Source organism: Homo sapiens, chromosome 15 (genome assembly GCF_000001405.40).
Source record: "Homo sapiens chromosome 15, GRCh38.p14 Primary Assembly".
In the NCBI taxonomy this organism is placed as follows: domain Eukaryota; kingdom Metazoa; phylum Chordata; class Mammalia; order Primates; family Hominidae; genus Homo; species Homo sapiens.
Genome location: NC_000015.10, coordinates 40,002,675 through 40,020,188, shown reverse-complemented (window position 1 = coordinate 40,020,188; position 17,514 = coordinate 40,002,675). Strand labels below are relative to the sequence as shown.

The window sequence follows — 17,514 nt, the reverse complement described above, 5'->3', positions numbered from 1 at the left end:
TTCTTTTTTCTTTTTTTTTTTTTGACAGGGTCTGGCTCTGTTGCCCAAGCTGGAGTGGAAGTGGCATGATTTCACCTCACTGCAACCTCCCCCTCCTGGGTTCAAACGATTCTCCCACCTCAGCCTCCTGAGTAGCTGGAACTACAGGTGCATGGCTAATTAACCACACCCAGCTAATTTTTGTATTTTTTTGGTAGAGATGGGGTTTTGCTATGTTGCCCAGGCTAGTCTTGAACTCCTGGGCTCAACGATCTGCCTGCCTCGACCTTCCAAAGTGCTGGGATTATAGGCATGAGCCACCATGCCTGGCCTGAACAAGAAGTTTTGTTAAGAGCCTGTTAACAACTATAACATCTCACATTTATATGGTACGTTACAGATAAGGAAAATGAGTCTAGGGAAGGATGAATTAATTGTCTAAGGCAGAAGTCTTCAACCTTTTTGGCACCAGGGACTGGTTTCATGGAAGAAAATTTTTCATGGATGGTGCGGGGGTTGGGAGGGGATGCTTTTGGAATGAAACTATTCCATCTCGGATCATCAGGCATTAGTTAGATTCTCCTAAGGAGCGTGCAGTCTAGATCCCTTCCATGTGCAGTCCACAACAAGGTTCATGCTCCTATAGAATCTAATGCCACCGCTGATCTGACAGGAGGTGGAGCTCAGGTGGTAATGCTTGCTTGCCCACTGCTCACCTCCTGCTGTGCGGCCCGGTTCGTAACAGGCCCTGGATGGGTACCAGTCCACTGCCTGGGGGTTAGGGACCCCTGGTCTAAGGTCGTCCAGCTAGAGAACAGATGATAAGGACTGAAATGCAGGGATTGACATCAAGTCTTAGGCTTGTCTATCATATTAAAGGTAAGTTTCAAAACCCTACGTCTATAGCTTTCACATCAGAAGCCCCATGTAAATGACTGCAAAAGGCAAATCATACTTTTAGAAATGAAAGACACCTCGAAGTATGCTGGGAAGCCAAGCCAGAACTTACAGATTCCTCCATGTTGAGGACAGCAGCAGATATCTTGTCTATAGCTATGCTGACCCCAATGGCAGTGGGAACTGGCCCCAGAGCTTGTGGCCCTCTAAACTGGGGAATCTGTGGAGAGACACAAACAGTTATGGTTATGAAATAGGAAAGAAACTGTGATTACGGGGAAAACAATGATTAAAGAGTGAGCACTCTGTCAGCAGCTCATCATCAAAGAGTTCAACAAAAAGAAATGTGTGTGTGTAGTAAAATAGAGAAGCAAGCACACATGCAAATTTAGAAAAAATATTAACAAATGTTTCATCTAACTCTGCACTGTTCAATATGGCAGCCACTAGTCACAAGTGACTACTGAGTATTTGAAATATGGCTAATCCAAATTGACACATGCTGTACATGTAAAACACATACTGGCTGCAAAGACTTTGAAAAAAATGTAAAATCCTTGTTAATAATTTTTAGAAGTTTGAGTACATGTTGAAATAATATTTTGGATATACTAAGTTAAATAAGATATATTATAAAATTAATACCACTTGTCTCCTTTTACTTAATGTTACTAAATAATTTAAAATTACAGGTCAGGTGTGGTGGCTCACACCCGCAATCCCAGTGCTTTGAAAGGCCAAGGCAGGAGGATTGCTTGCAGCCAGGAGTGTGAGATCAGCCTGGACAAAAATGTCCCATAACCTCAAGGACATTTGTGTCACTGGGGTCATAGAAGGAGAGAAAAAAGAGTGTGAGACTGAAAAAAAAAATCAAAGAATGCCTGAAAAAATCCTCCAAATTCGCAAAAGACATAAACCTATAGATTTAAGAAGCTAAGCAAACCCTAAACAGGATAAATCCAAAGAAACTCATGCCAAGACACATCATGATTTAATTTGAAACTAAAGACAAAGAAAATAATCTTTAAAGCATCAAGTCAGAAATAACTTTCCTATAGGGGAAAAGTAACTCAAATAACAGCAAATTTCTCATCACAAACCAGAAATTTGGGGTAAATACAATAGACCTTCTTCTCCCCTTGAGTTTTATAATTATATTTAACAGTAAAGTAAAAAATTTAACACTGTTTGATGTGGATCTCAATGTATTAGAAGAAATATTTAAGACAATTATATTATAAATGGGGCATGAGGTAAAGAGACATACAGGGAGATAAAGTTTCTACATTTCATTTGAATTGATAAGATGTTGATACCCATAAATCTCTGTGGTGATGGAATAGTTCTGTACCTTGATTATGGTGGTTGTTGAGGGAAAGTACACGTGATAAAATGGAGAAGAATGATGCACATACATTATACAAATGTCAATTTTCTGGTTTTGATATTTTACTGTACTTATGCAAGGGGTGGTGTGGTGGCTCACACCTATAATCCCAGCACTCTGAGAGGCTGAGGTGGGTGGATTGCTTGAGCTCAGGAGTTTGAGACCAGCCTGGGCAACATGGCAAAACCCTGTCTCTACTGAAAATACAAAAAATTAGCTGGGTGTGGTGGTGCATGCCTGTAGTCTCAGCTACTCGGGAGGCTAAGGTGAGAGAATCATTTGAGCCCAGGGAGGTCGAGGCTGCTGTGAGCCAAGATTGCGCCATTGCACTCCAGCCTGGGTGACAGAGCAAGGCCCTGTCTCCAAAATACATATATATATATATATATATATATATATATATATATATATATATATATATATAGAAACAGAGTAAAGGGTACATGAGCCCTCTCAGTACTATCTTTGCAACTATCTTGCAAAATAATATAATTGTTTTAAGCTTAAACAACTACAAATGTGGTTCACATTATATTTCTATTCCTAGATGAAACATATATTAATAGAAGTATCCAATGATATTACTGGTTCAAATTTTTGGTGTTAGTTTGAAAATTTCAAAATAACAAGTTTAGAAGAAATAAAATTAAGTCAGAGCAAATAAATAAAGGGCAAGCCCTCACCAGCAGGTCATATCTGCCTCCAGCTGCGAGGATTTCAGGTACAGCCCTTTGCCTTCGTTTGATGAAAGCCACAAACTGGAAGATGATTCCATTGTGCTGCTGCACCTTGTAAACCAAGCCCAAATTGATCAAGACCTATAAAGAGAGATGCCACACAAATGTGTCAAGGGTTTGAAATTTAGAATGTGGAATATAATGCTGAAAATGGTGTTTCCCATCAATAGCATCAGAACAATCTATTTAGCATAAACAAAATATTCAGTAAGATCTAGCTCAAAGTCTGTTTAACCATAGCCTGACAAGTAAAATAAATTCTCTTCTCTTTAAGAATAACCACCTCTCTGAGGCTAACATAGTAAGAACTGCTTCATGATAGGAACAGTGGCACTTGCAAAGAAATCCTGATTTAAGCCAAAATTATTACTAAATATCAAATGCTCCAAAACACAGAAAGCAGTTTTTCTGGAAAAATAAAACACTAACTAGCATTAGTGAAATGAAACACATTTCCTCCCTGTGCTATTAGTAATGCTACACATTTGTACTGCCAGTATCAAACTGTTGCCAAACCTGTAACTTGATGCCGAGTTTCTTCAACAGTCCAACAACCTCCTCTAGGTCTTTTAAGCCATACTTCACCAACTGTGCAATACCTGTTTTCTGTTTTATTAATGAATTTATTGTTGGCATAAGATCTTGCAAATCTCCCTTCTGTTCAATAAACTTGTAGAGTCGACACAGCTGGAAAGCAAAGGGGCACAGTCAGCTGCCCATCCACAGCAGGGGAAGACTCCCTTTGCACCGACTGTGTGCACCTGCAGGAGCAGGAGCACATGGGATGCTACGATTATCTTTGTGGTCAAAGATTATTTTAGGCTTTGCCACAATCCTGACTAAGGATTATCCTTTTCCAACAACTTGAAAGCACCTTGCAGGAATGCTTTAGACACATACTCATGGTTCACTTTTATTCAGATACATTTACTCACACTTAATGCTGACCCCAGCAAAGCAGACCCTGGCACTAGCAGAGCTTCCATTATCTATTTTCAGGCCAGTATTTTTCCTCTTTACCTTTCTTATTCTCATGAATTCCTGTTACTGCAGGCATAGACATGGGGGGACAATAAGGCAAAGTCTGACTTGTTTTAATACAGAATTAGCTAGAAATTCCCTTCCTTGGCTTGAATCATTCCTATTTGCAACCTTGAGATGTCTTCTCCTGTGGGCAGCCTCCTGATCCTCCCTTCCCTCTCCTCCCACCTGGATGCCAGATCCTGGCTGTCACCAGCTGTACTCATAGACTGCCCCAGAAGAGGTCAGTGGCTAGAGATGATTGATCTCACAGTCCCTGGTACTCAGCTGGAGTAAGAGGAAACAACCATAGTCATAAAGCCAGAAAGAAAACTCCCAGGAGCTAAAGTAGAAATTATTAAGAAACAAAATTATAGCCATTTTAAGACTGTAGGCAAGTACAACCTAGTTCATCCATAAATTGGCACATGAAACCTAAGGGCTAAATGAAGGCTCAGATTGACATAGCTTAATCTTAGAGTTAATCATAAATCACTTAAATTTTTAAAAAACCCAAAAAATGTTAAAACCTCCTATAATCTTGATATGGTTTGGCTGTGTCCCTACTCAAATCTCATCTTGAATTGTAGCTCCTACAATTCCCATGTGTCATGGGAGGGATCCAGTGGGAGGTAACTGAATCATGTGGGCGGGTCCTTCCCATGATAGTCTCATGATAGTGAATAAGTCTCACAAGATCTGATGGTTTTATAAAGAGGAGTTTCCCTGCACAAGTTCTCTCTCTTTGCCTGCTGCCAACCATGTAAGACATGACTTGTTCCTCTTTGCTTTCCACCATGATTGTGAGGCCTCCTCAGCCACAGAGAACTGTGAGTTCATTAAACCTCTTTCCTTTATAAATTACGCAGTTTCGTGTATGTCTTTATTAGCAGCACGAGAACAAACTAATACAGTAAATTGGTACCGGTAGAGTTGGGCTGTAAAGATACCCAAAAATGTGGAAGTGACTTTGGAACTGGGTAACAGGCAGAGGTTGGAACAGTTTGGAGGGCTCAGAAGAAGACAGGAAAATGGGGGAAAGTTTGGAACTTCCTAGAGACTTGTTGAATGGCTTTGACCAAAATGCTGATAATGATGTGGTCAATGAAATCCAGGCTGAGGTGGTCTCAGATGGAGATGAGGAACTTGTTGGGAACTGAAGTAAAGGTGATTCTTGCTATGTTTTAGCAAAGAGACTGGCAGAATTTTGCCCCTGCCCTAGAGATTTGTGAAACTTTGAACTTGAGGGAGATGATTTTGGGTACCTGGCAGAATAAATTTCTAAGCAACAAAGCATCAAGAGGTGACTTGGGTGCTGTTAAGACCATTCAGTTTTAAAAGGAAAACAGAGCATAAAAATTCAGAAAATTTGCAGCCTGACAATGAGACAGGAAAGAAAACCCCATTCTCTGAGGAAAAATTCAAGCCAGCGGCAGAAATTTGCATAAGTAACAAGGAGCCAAGTGTTAATCACCAAAACAATGGGGAAAATGTCTCCAGGGCATGTCAGAGGTCTTCATGGCAGGCCCTCCCATCACAGGCCTGGAGGCCTAGGAGGAAAAAATGGTTTCGTGGGCTGGCCCCAGGGCCCCCCTCCTCTATGTAGCTTAGGGACTTGGTGCCCTGTGTCTAAGCTGCTCCACCCATGGCTAAAGGGGGCCAAGGTATGTACAGCTCAGGCTGTTGCTTCAGAGGGTTCAAGCCCCAAGCTTTGGCAGCTTCCATGTGCTGTTGAGCCTGCAGATGCACGGAAAACAAGAATTGAGGTTTGGGAACCTCCGCCTAGATTACAGAGGATGTATGGAAACGCCTGGATGCCCAGGCAGAAGTTTGCTGCAGGGGTGGGGCTCTTATGGAGAACCTCTGCTAGGGCAGTGCAGAAGGGAAATGTGGGTTTGCAGCCCCCATACAGAGTCCCTACTAAATGCTAGTCCATGGAAGCATCCAGGAGGGAGGCTGTACCCTGCAAAGCCACAGGTGGGGAGCTGCCCAAGGCCATGGGAGCCTACCCCTGGCATCAGCATCACCTGGGTGTGAGACATGGAGTCAAAGGAGATCATTTTGGAGCTTTCAGATTTGACTGCCCTGCTGGATTCTAGACTTGCATGGGGCCTTTAGCCCCTTTGTTTTGGCCAATTTCTCCCATTTGGAATGGGTGTATTTATCCAATGCCTGTACTCTCATTGTATCCAGGAAGTAACTCACTTGTTTTTGATTTTACAGGCTCATAGGCGGAAGGGACTTGCCTTGTTTCAGATGAGACTTTGGACTGTGGACTTTTGAGTTAATGCTGAAATGAGTTAAGACTGTGGGGGACTGTCAGGAAGGCATGATTGGTTTTGAGATGTGAGGACATGAAATTTGGGAGGGGCCATGGGTAGAATGATATGGTTTAGCTGTGTCCCCATGCAAATTTCATCTTGAACTGTAGCTCCCACAATTCCCCTGTGTCATGGGAGGGACCCAGTGGGAGGTAATTGAATCGTGGGGGCGGGTCCTTCCCATGCTGGTCTTGTGATAATGAATAAGTCTCACGAGATCTGATGGTTTTATAAAGAGGAGTTCCTCTGCACAAGTTCTCTCTCTTTGCCTTCTGCCATCCATATAAGATGTGACTTGCTCCTCCTTGCCTTCTGCCATCCATATAAGACGTGACTTGCTCCTCCGTGCCTTCTGCCATGATTGTGAGGCCTCCCCAGCCATGTGGAACTGTGAATCCATTAAACCTCTTTCCTTTATAAATTACCCACTCTCGGATATATCTTTATTAGCAGTGTGACAGCAGACTAATAGAGGGATTAAAGATAAAAATTTTGGCTGGATGCAATGGCTCACGCCTGCTATCCCGCTATAAAAAAGAAAAAAAAATTAAGTGGGAGGCTGAGGCAGAAAGATCTCTTGAGCCCAAGAGCTTGAGGTTACAGTGAACTATGATTGTGCCACTGTAATCTAGCCTGCGTGACAGTGCAAGACCCTGTCTCAAAAAAATAAAAAGAAAAAAATTTAAATTTAAAATCATGTATTCGATTTAAAATATTTTTTTAAGAAAATAAAAATGATTTCTTCTCTATAAATTTGAACATTAAATTACCCCAATAATAAACTACCAGAAGCACTGAAGTCAATATCTCCAGATTTTGGTCCTCACCCTATCATCAACTAACTCCATGTGACTCAGGACAAATCACAACATCTCTTTGGGCCTCAGGTGTCTCATTTGTGAAATAAGAGGACTGGGTCAGATATGTGAAACTCTTTGGCAATATTTCTACTCCCCTTCCTAATACCCTTAGAGTCCATTTTAAAATAATCAAAGTACCAAATGCCTTTATTAGATACTATTTTTCTGTTTTTAACTGAATCAGACACGTCTAATTAACACTTAGCATCATCGAATAACCAGTGGTTAGAGATTTAACAGAAAGAAAAGAAGTTGACATGTGAACAACCAATGTGGCTATTACGTCCGAATGTATATTTATAAGACTTTCTTAAAAAAAAAAAAAGATGTTCTGAAATGTGACTTTAGTCCAAATAACCTTTTGGGTTGGAAACTTGGGTATAGAATCATTGAACTGAGCAGTCTTGTGCAGATTCTCTGTGCTATTTACACATGGGACTATTTCTGCACATAGGTGTGTGCTGTGTACATGTTTAGATTATATGTAAATACTGTATATTGTCCTTCATATTTGGATATTTAGCTGTTGTGTTACTTTGCATATCATTACTATCTCCCCCAATATTAAATATTTAAGATTTAACCTGGCTCAATTTTCAGAACTCCTAGTGCTATGCATCTGGTTTACTTTCCCTACCCGCAAAGGGGTGATTTCTTTGAACTCTGGTTTCCGTGTGCCCTCTGAAAGCTGTTTTACAGAGTTGAGGGCAGATACATGCTGTGCATATCCCCTTATGGCTTTTTAAAGGCCAATATGAACCAAGAAGCTGAATGCAGTCTATGGACTCTTCTTTATATCCCTGCCATTGTGCCTGCCACACTGTAGGTGTCCGAAAGATTGAGTGACTCTTCCTGCCCTGTGTACAATCATATTTTAATCTATCCCATATGTGAATTTTGCTGATCAATGCAAGATCATATAATTGAGTGTCAGACAAGGGCCTAGACAGGTTCCGGGAAATTAAAAAAAAACTTTCCTTATTTAAATATTCAGGAAAATGTACAAAATCCCTGTTGTATTCTGTTGTTCAGCTACTCAATTAAGTGTGGGTTACTGTACCAAAGATCTGGGATCAATCTGATGCCTACAGAGAGAATATGACCAAACTGTTTATTCCATAAGATTTCCCTTATTGATGATGGGATCAAATGTAAGATTTTAAGATTAAGAGATATACCAGAAAAGCTAGAGCTTTAATTCAACTCTGAGGAGTTAGAAGACATGGAGGTAGGGGAAGGGTAGCTCCCCAGATGAATTTGCAGAATTCTGTGCCTCCTTCTAGTCCTGTATAATCTAATTCAAAAGAGGACAACTGGTATTAGGTATGTTCAGCAGGAGGCTCTACCAGGCACAGCTCTATAAGGGGTGACAAAGAAAAGTATCTGCTGATCAAGAAAGAGCAGGATGATTACAGCGTATCAAGAAGAAGCATGGAGAGACATTCTTTGATCACAGCATTAGTTTCTCCCTTCTCCTAATCCCAGAGGTTGCCATGGTACCTAACACTCAAGGGAAAAACTGCATCTGCGAGGTGGTAGGAAGCGCTGGCTGCTACCCTACTGCAACGAGAATTTGATGACATTTTCTGGTATCACAAAATTACAGAGAAAGCTGTAATAATACCATTAGAAGGTACTTACACTATTAGAAGACAAAGACAGATTACAAAATTTAGCTTCCACTTCTCTCCTCGTCAGCTTCTCTGTCTAACGTGGAAGAAAAAGGTAACAATGAGAGTCGCGAAATCTGGCACTGAACAAGACACAATTTCCAGGCGAATTCTAACAAGTATAGCCTTCATTTTGAACAAACTGCTCCTAATGGTACAGGATAGATTGAATTCTGTGATTAAAAAATTTTTTCTCCCAATTCACACAAAACCGTAATTAACTTATTTTAAAATCTGAAAAACCCTGACAAAAGAATTAAAAGGGGAAAGTTGTACTTGCTGAATGGTGAGGTGACCCAAATCTGGACAGGCTTAATGAGGGCATTTGTTTGGGCAGGGAGGGAGTCATTTTGCTCTGGGCTCCCCTAACAAAGGCCAGGCTCTGGGCATTTCATCCCACGCTGGCAGATGTGCCGTAGCCGCAGGACATGAATCAGTAAGAGCTGAAGCCCCTTGCACAATCCCTGGGGTTTCTGCCAGTGTCCGATTGACATCATATTGTATCTGTCACTGACAAACAGCAGCAGAGCTTTAGGGGGAGTAAAGAACCACTAAGAAACAAGCAGTAAAGTTTGGGCCATTGATGTGTACCTGCCAGATGAAAGAAAAGCTAGTTAATCCTTTTGGTGTATAAAAACAATAAGCCATTATGTGAGGACTTCCACTACTCTGTCTTAACCATAGACTTCTGGTGCTGTTAGTTCTTACATCTCCTGGATGCCTCTTATTCATTATGAAAACAAAACTTAACATGAAAAGATATTAGAAAACATAAGCATTCACTTCCATCTTAGCATCATAATATAACACTAATTCATTTTTTCAATGCGTCCCCTTCCAGTCTCTGTACCCGCACATATACTATAAAGTAATGAATACTATGATGTGACTAAATTAGGGAAGAGTAACTGGAGGTGCCATAGCCTCAGTCCCACAGGAAGGAGGTGGTAAATGAGGCCCCACCAGAGTTCGAAGCCATTCTGCCTTAATTCAATCAATGCAAATCTATACATGACTTTACTGATAAGCACAGGCAGACTGGAAGAATCAAGGGCAAGGCACACTGTTTATTCTCAACATGAACAGTTGCTCTCGGTCTCTAAAGGAAAGGTAATAGCAGCACTGGTGTGAGAATGAAGTGAGTTCATCCATCAGAGGAGCTCAGAACAATGCCTAGCTCACAGAGCGGGGCTCAGTCAATGTTAACTATCTTTGAAATTATTATTGGCAAGTATCAGGACCAATTACTTAGTGATTTGCCTTAATAAGTAGGTTGGTGAATAACTTTACTATCTGACAAATTAAATAATTTGATCTTTTAAAATTAGAAGTTAGCCTTTTAAAAAACACCCCGGAGGTTATTAGTAGTACAGGGCTGAGGATGGAACAAAAGCTCAACCAATACTTGTTAACTGTTGATATAATTAAAATCAATTGGTTCTTTCAATTTAGAGCAATGAAGGAAGGAGATAAGGCTCCCAATTCAGTTTCATGGCTGCATGGGTAAGAAAATCATCAGGAACTATTATTATTATCTTTCAACATCAAGGTATTATCTTTCAACATCATAAGTAATTAAATGCTTACCACAGCATCATACAGAATAATGTAGACTTGACTGAGTTTATCTTCTGGGATCCCACAGTGTAAGAGTATTGCTTTCAATAACATGGTATGGTTCAAATAAATACTGTAATTTCTTTCCTGGGATATGGAGAAAAATTACTATTTTCATTATAAAAGCAATTACTGGTACATGACCAAATCTGGAAACTTACCACCAATTTGTCATCCTAACACAATGGAAGGATTGAATTTAGCATATGGCTTCCTAGTTTATTTTTTTTTCATACATTCTTTTTGCACTGTTATAGTCAGAGTATACTCTAATTTAATACTATATTATATATATCCAAAGTACTCAGACTGGCTGGGGTGGTGGCTCATGCCTGTGTAATTCAAGCATTTTGGGAGGCCAAGGTTGGAGGATCCCTTGAGCTCAAGAGTTCAAGACCAGCCTGGGGAACATAGGGAAACCCCATCTCTACAAAAAAATAAAAAATTAGCTGGGGTCAGTGGCACATGCTTGTAGACCCAGCTATTCAAGCAGCAAGGCAGGAGGACTGCTTGAGCCTGGAAGGTAGGGGCTAGTGAGCTGTGATAGTATCACTGCACACCATCCTGGGAGACAGAGCGAGACACTGTCTCCAAAACAAAACAAAACAAAACAAAACAAAACAAAACAAAAACAACTCTGACTGGTCTTCAGCTATGTTAAAAAGCCCGAGAGAGTTGATTTCAAAGACAGAAGGATCTGGTCCAGTAGTAATCGACTCATAAGCACAGGCCAGTGGAATAGTTATTGTTAACTTTTGTCCACACAAATCGATTAATGAGTATTCACCGAGTGGTGAGCCATGTGCCGAGCTGGCTGCAATGGGGGTATATGGCAAAGCGGACTCGTAGGCTCTGCCCTAAAAACACATGTTCTGCTTGGAGAAAACAATGAACATAACTCAAGGTAGTACATGGGTGTCTCAGATCAAGACCTGTGAGAGTTGAGAAGAAAAGGTGGCCAACTAATTAATGAGGGTGCAGTGAGGCTTCCTGGGGAGAAAGGGCCCAAACCATGGCTGGGCAAAGACTTTCTAGACAAGGGAACATTTGACTGACGGTGGCAGGAATGACAGGGTGTGTGTGTGGGGTGGGGAGGGAAGCCTGAGAAGTGCTGGCAGCAGTCCCCACCAGCTAGGCAGCATGCAGACTTGGTGAAAAGGGAAGTTGGGGAGTGAAGAGATCGGGTGTAGGATAGAGCCACTGAGGGTTCCAAACAGGGTATGAACAGGCTAAGAGCATCTTAGGAATCTTAGCCTGATATCTTGCATTTTAGAAGAATGGGCAGAGAATACCCATCCCCCAAAACAAAACCAGTTCCTGTGAAGGTAAGAGCCTGAGCTGAACCTCAAAAGCAACACCAGCAAGCTCTTCTCAGTTACTTTAGTAAAGATGTGATTCATCTGCAGGACAGACTGAGAAGCAGGTCTGTAGCTGTGGTTTTCCCCACCACACTTGGTGAAGAAATATAGTGGGGAATCTTGGAATGTTAAAATATGGAAAGGAACCTGAAGTGCTGGAAACTCTTGGATGATTTCATAGATAGTGTAGATAATTTCAGCAGTGGGCAGAAAGCTGTTGGTGGTAGAAGTGACAATATCAAATGCACACTCCAGAAGTTCTTTGGGATGAAATCGATCTAACTTGCGCGGCCTGAACACACGTTCTATGCAGTATCTGGAGAGAGAAACCCAGATTTCTAAGGTCATTGCTTACTAGAAAGAAATATGTATAAGAAATTGTTGAACAAGATATAAGAAACAAATATGAAAAAAAATTAATCGGTGGTATGATCAAGAGGACTGAAAGACAAATTTGACCTGGAACAGCCTTGCCTTGTGATCTAGGTTCCAATTCCCAGTTTTGCCACTATTAAGCTATGGGGCTTAAGGTTTTTTAAATGTCTGAAATAGAGATGAAATTACACCAAAAAATTTTACCTTAGTGATTGCTTTCTACACAGGGATACCCACACCATAGGACTACGATTATTAATTATTCACTTGTAGCTAGAATAAAAGCATGTAAAGAGCTTTGCTTTCAGTTGAAGAAAGGAGCTTTAAAGTAGGGTGCCTCATTGACAACAATACTGCTCCAAATTATGAAGATCTCAGTGTTGGACCCCTGTGGTATTTGAATGTACAGAAAGCCTTTTTCCAGGGCTAAGTGCCTGGAGGTCCTCAGCGCTCAGCGTTCCTGCTGGGTTTACTCCACTTCTCTACAAGCAGCTTTTGTTCGGTTACCTGTGTAGGCAGTTTTCACATAGAGACCACTGGCCATTTGTCCCACCAATTAAGTTTTAAAAGGGGCCATCTGTGATCATGAACAGCCAGATGTTTTTATCAAGCAACCGTTTGTGAAAATAATTAGTAATGTTGCTTGGGGACATTTAGAAGGTACAGAATAGACTGTGGGAACATGACGGTACCTACCTGCTACATTCCTTCTAACAGTCCTAGTTACCTTACAGGAAGGGGTACTGTGGCTGGGCTTCTGGTTCATATTCTAAGCTCAATATTCTGAACCCAGAATTCTTAACTGTGTAAGGATCACAGGAAATAAAATATTCTTTCCTGGTTGACAAATTATTCAACTATTTTCCTATGTCTACCAAATGGAATCTCCTATTGTTTCTTACCGTTTTAAATTCAATATATTATTTCTTGCCACATATCTTGCAAAAGGGATCTGAAAAATAAACAAAATATGAAAGGTCAATGTCAAAATGTGCCTTTTGTTAATAGCGGCTTTATTGAAACATAACTCCTGTCCCATAAAGTTCACCCCTTTAAAGTATGTACTTCAGTGGCTTTTAGTGTATTCACTAAGTTATGCACTGCTCACCACTCACACTCCCTGAAATGTTCTTCAGTGTTTTGGTCAGTGGTGGACTCCGCTGCTAGACATACCATCAACCTTATTCACTGTGGCATTTCTTAGGTTTTTTTTAAAATTCACTTTTAGTTAAATATTCTCTGTGGAGCTTTTATTATGTCCAACTAAAATTAGTGCAAGTTATTTATTTATGAATTTAAAAAAAATGTCACTTTTATAGTAATGCAGTCAAAATGGGTATTATCTCTTATGGTGAATTTCCTGATTTTCCTATCAATCTCTTAGAATAAATTCTTAATAAACACCTTCAAATAGTAACCACAACTAGTAAAACCATTGTTAGATTGCCCCAACAGATCCAACATGGTATCATTACCACTGATGGGCCAAATTCTCAACATACATTCACTTTTTAATTTTTTGCATTTCAATATCAGCTTATAGAATGGGAGCTGATATTTAAAAATCTGCACTTTAGTCTCCTAATATTTAGAGAATAAGAAGCCAGCTTTAAGTATAGCTATGTAAATATTTGTACTTCTATTCTTTTTTTTTCAACAAAACGCAAATGTCTCATCTGATTTGCTGTTTATTTACCTCTACCTCAGAATAATCCCACATCACTTTACTCACTATAAAAGAAAAACAGAAGTGAGGAATGTGGAAGGAATTTCTTCTTAGACTATAAACACAAAACCTGTTTCACAATAAGCCATATGACATACATTTAAAAAAAGATTCCACTCCCCCCTCCAAAAAGTATGGTCAAAATGAGTGTATTCTTTGACACCTTACTCTTTGGTGATACAAACAACCTGATGTGCACGGTCATTCAGACACGTGAATGTGACAAGTTCAAGTTTTGCTTTTTGGAGCTTTGTGAATTTTTTTTTTTTTTCTGAGTATCTTCCATCCTCGGTTGGATCCATGGATACAGAAACCACCCAAGGATGTAGAGGGCCAAATATATATATCTACACATATATCAAGTGTATGCAGGCCGGGTGCGGTGGCTCACGCCTGTAATCCCAGCACTCTGGGAGGCCCAGGTGGGCGGATCACGAGGTCAGGAGATCAAGACCATCCTTGCTAATACAGTGAAACACTGTCTCTACTAAAAATACAAAAAATTAGCCGGGCATGGTAGCGGGCACCTACAGTCCCAGCTACTCGGGAGGGTGAGGCAGGAGAATGGCGTGAACCCGGGAGGCGGAGCTTGCAGTGAGCTGAAATCACGCCACTGCCCTCCAGCCTGAGAGACAGAGTGAGACTCCATCTCAAAAAAAAAAATAAAACAAAAAAGTACATGCAGACACACACAGTATACCTTATGTACAGTTTTTTGTTTTTTTGTTTTGTTGTTGTTGTTTTTCAGACAGGGTCTTGCTCTGTTGTCCAGGCTGGAGTGCAGTGGTGCAATCTCAGCTCACTGCAACCTCCGCCTCCCGGGTTCAAGTGATTCTCCTGCCTCAGCCTCCTGTACACACACAATTTTTTTAAAAAAACTTTTCTTTCTCTATAATAAAAATGGGATAATAGAGTTCCTTTGAAATTTACTTTTTAAAAAAAGCTAACAATGTGCCATGCACATTCCTACAAATCAAGTATAAATATGGCTATATCTAAATATGTATAGTTGTCCCTCAGAAATTGGTTCCGGGACTCCCCCAAGGATACCAAAATCAGTGGATGGTTAAGTTCCTGATATAAAATGACAGAGCATTTGCCTATAGCCTATGCGCATCCTCCTGTACACTTTAAATCATCTTTAGATTACTTATAATATCTACTACTATGCCTATACATCCCTTCTTTTGTGTGGATTCAATGCAGTGTTTAGCACATGGTAAATTCAAATTTTGCTTGTTGGAATTTTTTTTTCTGAGTATTTTCCATCCACAGTTGGCTGGATACGTGGATGTGGAATCCAAGGATATGTACGAAGAGCTGACTGTATTTTCATCTTATACATATATAAAAAATACATATTTGATCTATATAAAAATATAGATTGGCTGGGCATGGCGGCTCATGCCTGTAATTCCAGTATTTTGGGAGGCTGAGGCAGAAGGATCTGCTTGAGTCCAGCAGTTTGAGACCAGCCTGGGCAACACAGCGAGAGCCCGTTTCTACAAAAAAAAATTTTTAAATTTTCTTTTTGAGACAGAGTCTTGCCCTGTTTCCTAGGCTGGAGTGCAGTGGCAGAATCATGGCTCACTGAAGCCTTGACTTCCTGGGCTCAACCAATCCTCCTGCCTTAACCTCCCAAGTAGCTGAGACCACAGGCACGAGCCACCACACTGGGCTAATTTTTAAATTTTTTGTAAAGATGGGGTCTTCCTATGTTGCCCAGGCTGGTCTTGAACTACTGGGCTCAAGCACTCCTCCTACCTAGCCTAGTTCTGGAATTACAGGCATGAGCCACTGTGCCTAGCTCAATGTTCTTTTCAATAGCTCCTTAATATTCCATAATATTGGTGACAAATTATTCAACCATTTTCCTACTGATAAACAGACAGACAGTTTTTGACTACCACAATAATATGGCAATTAACATCCTTTTAACATTCATACACTGATGTGTTTTTCTTTCTTTGAGTAAATTGCTCAAAGTGGGATTGCTGGTTCTAAGGATAAAGAATGTGCAACAAAATTTTTAAAGTTTTATTATAAACTTTTAGATTACTTTTCTAAAGGTTTAGCAGTCCACATTCCCATCAGCAACATATGAAAATACCTACTTTCCTACACTCCTGTCATCTCTGGATAACATTAATTTAAAAATGTTTCCTGTCTGATGGGTGAAGTTGAGACAGCTTTGCACTTCTTTATTATTGGTGAGGCAGTACAGCTTTTCAGAAGTTTATCAGCCATGCACATATTCTCTTCTGAGAGCTGCCTGGTTATATCCTTTGCTCATGTCTCCACTTGTCAGTGCTTTCTGTATGTGAGAGGTATTAAACCTTGTCTGTCACATGCATTGCATGTTTTCCTTGCTCTATCATACAGCACCACAGATAGCTTGTTAGTAGCCAACACTGTGTGAGTGAAAGACTAGTTAAGACTGCTGCTGTCGACAGGATCCCTGGGGGTCGGAAGAAAGCAGGCACGGGCAAAACTCAGCATACCCAATTAGGAGAGACACTTGCTGTTAGAAGAATTTAACTGTTCTAGGCATTAACATGTTAGGATGTTTACTGAAGATCTAGCCAGGAAGTTAAAAAGACAAACAAACTACATTTATTTGTCTAAGTGGGTGGGGTTAACCTGCTGTGGTCACTCAACACTGGGGGGTGCACATGTGGCACCTGCAATGCAGGGTTCCTCCAGTTCCTAGAGCCATAAACACCTGAGCTATTAGGAAGGTGGAGGCATTCAGGACCAAACATTTCCTCCACCCCAGTAACACTCTCACTCTGACAACTTCCTCAAGAATACATTTCCCAAAGGTGACATTTATAATATAAGCCTGGGGGAAAAATCCTTTAACAGAGATGCCATCCCTGTGACTAGATACAGCATTCTGATTGTCAGCAGTGTGTTCCCAGCCTCACCCGCAGGTCAAAAGGAAGCATCACCAGCATCCCGCTGTGGTCCATGAATAGGGCAGCTTCGTTGTGCTCATATATTTGTCTGTTTCGGGGAAGCAGTAGTGGAGTACACAACTGAACAGCTCCTACACCAAATGAGAAAAAATAGCTCATCATCAGGTTCACATTCTCCTTAGAAGGCAACCTAAAATTAACACAAACCTGACAGTTAAGTAATTGCTACTGGGACCATTGAAGTCATATCAATTTTTCTTGAGTTCTCTAAATTTATAAATAGAGAGCTCATCTAGAGTTAAGTTTGACAGTTTGGTCATATTTCTGACTCCACAAACCAATTGCATTTTAGTATTAATAGTAAGGCTGTAATATTCAAATCAGTTTCAAAAATAAGCTTAAATTCCATATGATGTCAATTATTTATAACTGAATTTGAAAGTAAAATATGATATGCCCGAACACTAACAGTACTTTCTAATGATGAAAAAAGTCTTATGAGAAGAAATATCATTTTTAAAAAGGGCGTACATACCATGTCTTTTAAAGATGCGGATGATGGTTTCACACACATGCTGCTGCATCTTGGCTGTACGGATTGAGAAGTTGCCCTAAAACAGGACCGATTAAAACATCATCATTGAAGCCT

The 17,514-nt window shown here is 40.5% G+C and overlaps 1 protein-coding gene across 1 annotated transcript in view; it reads right to left on the bottom strand.

The window, feature by feature from the left end:
• EIF2AK4 (eukaryotic translation initiation factor 2 alpha kinase 4) overlaps positions 1–17,514 on the bottom strand; it is a 101,477-nt gene that overhangs the window by 15,403 nt on the left and 68,560 nt on the right. The window contains exons 22-30 of the mRNA NM_001013703.4: positions 17,401–17,476; positions 16,875–16,996; positions 13,124–13,173; positions 11,994–12,162; positions 10,459–10,575; positions 8,843–8,908; positions 3,517–3,687; positions 2,947–3,081; positions 989–1,096 (exon numbers count right to left, since the gene is read on the bottom strand). Coding sequence (NP_001013725.2) covers positions 989–1,096; positions 2,947–3,081; positions 3,517–3,687; positions 8,843–8,908; positions 10,459–10,575; positions 11,994–12,162; positions 13,124–13,173; positions 16,875–16,996; positions 17,401–17,476 — 1,014 coding nt within the window. The remainder of the gene's footprint in view (positions 1–988; positions 1,097–2,946; positions 3,082–3,516; positions 3,688–8,842; positions 8,909–10,458; positions 10,576–11,993; positions 12,163–13,123; positions 13,174–16,874; positions 16,997–17,400; positions 17,477–17,514) is intronic.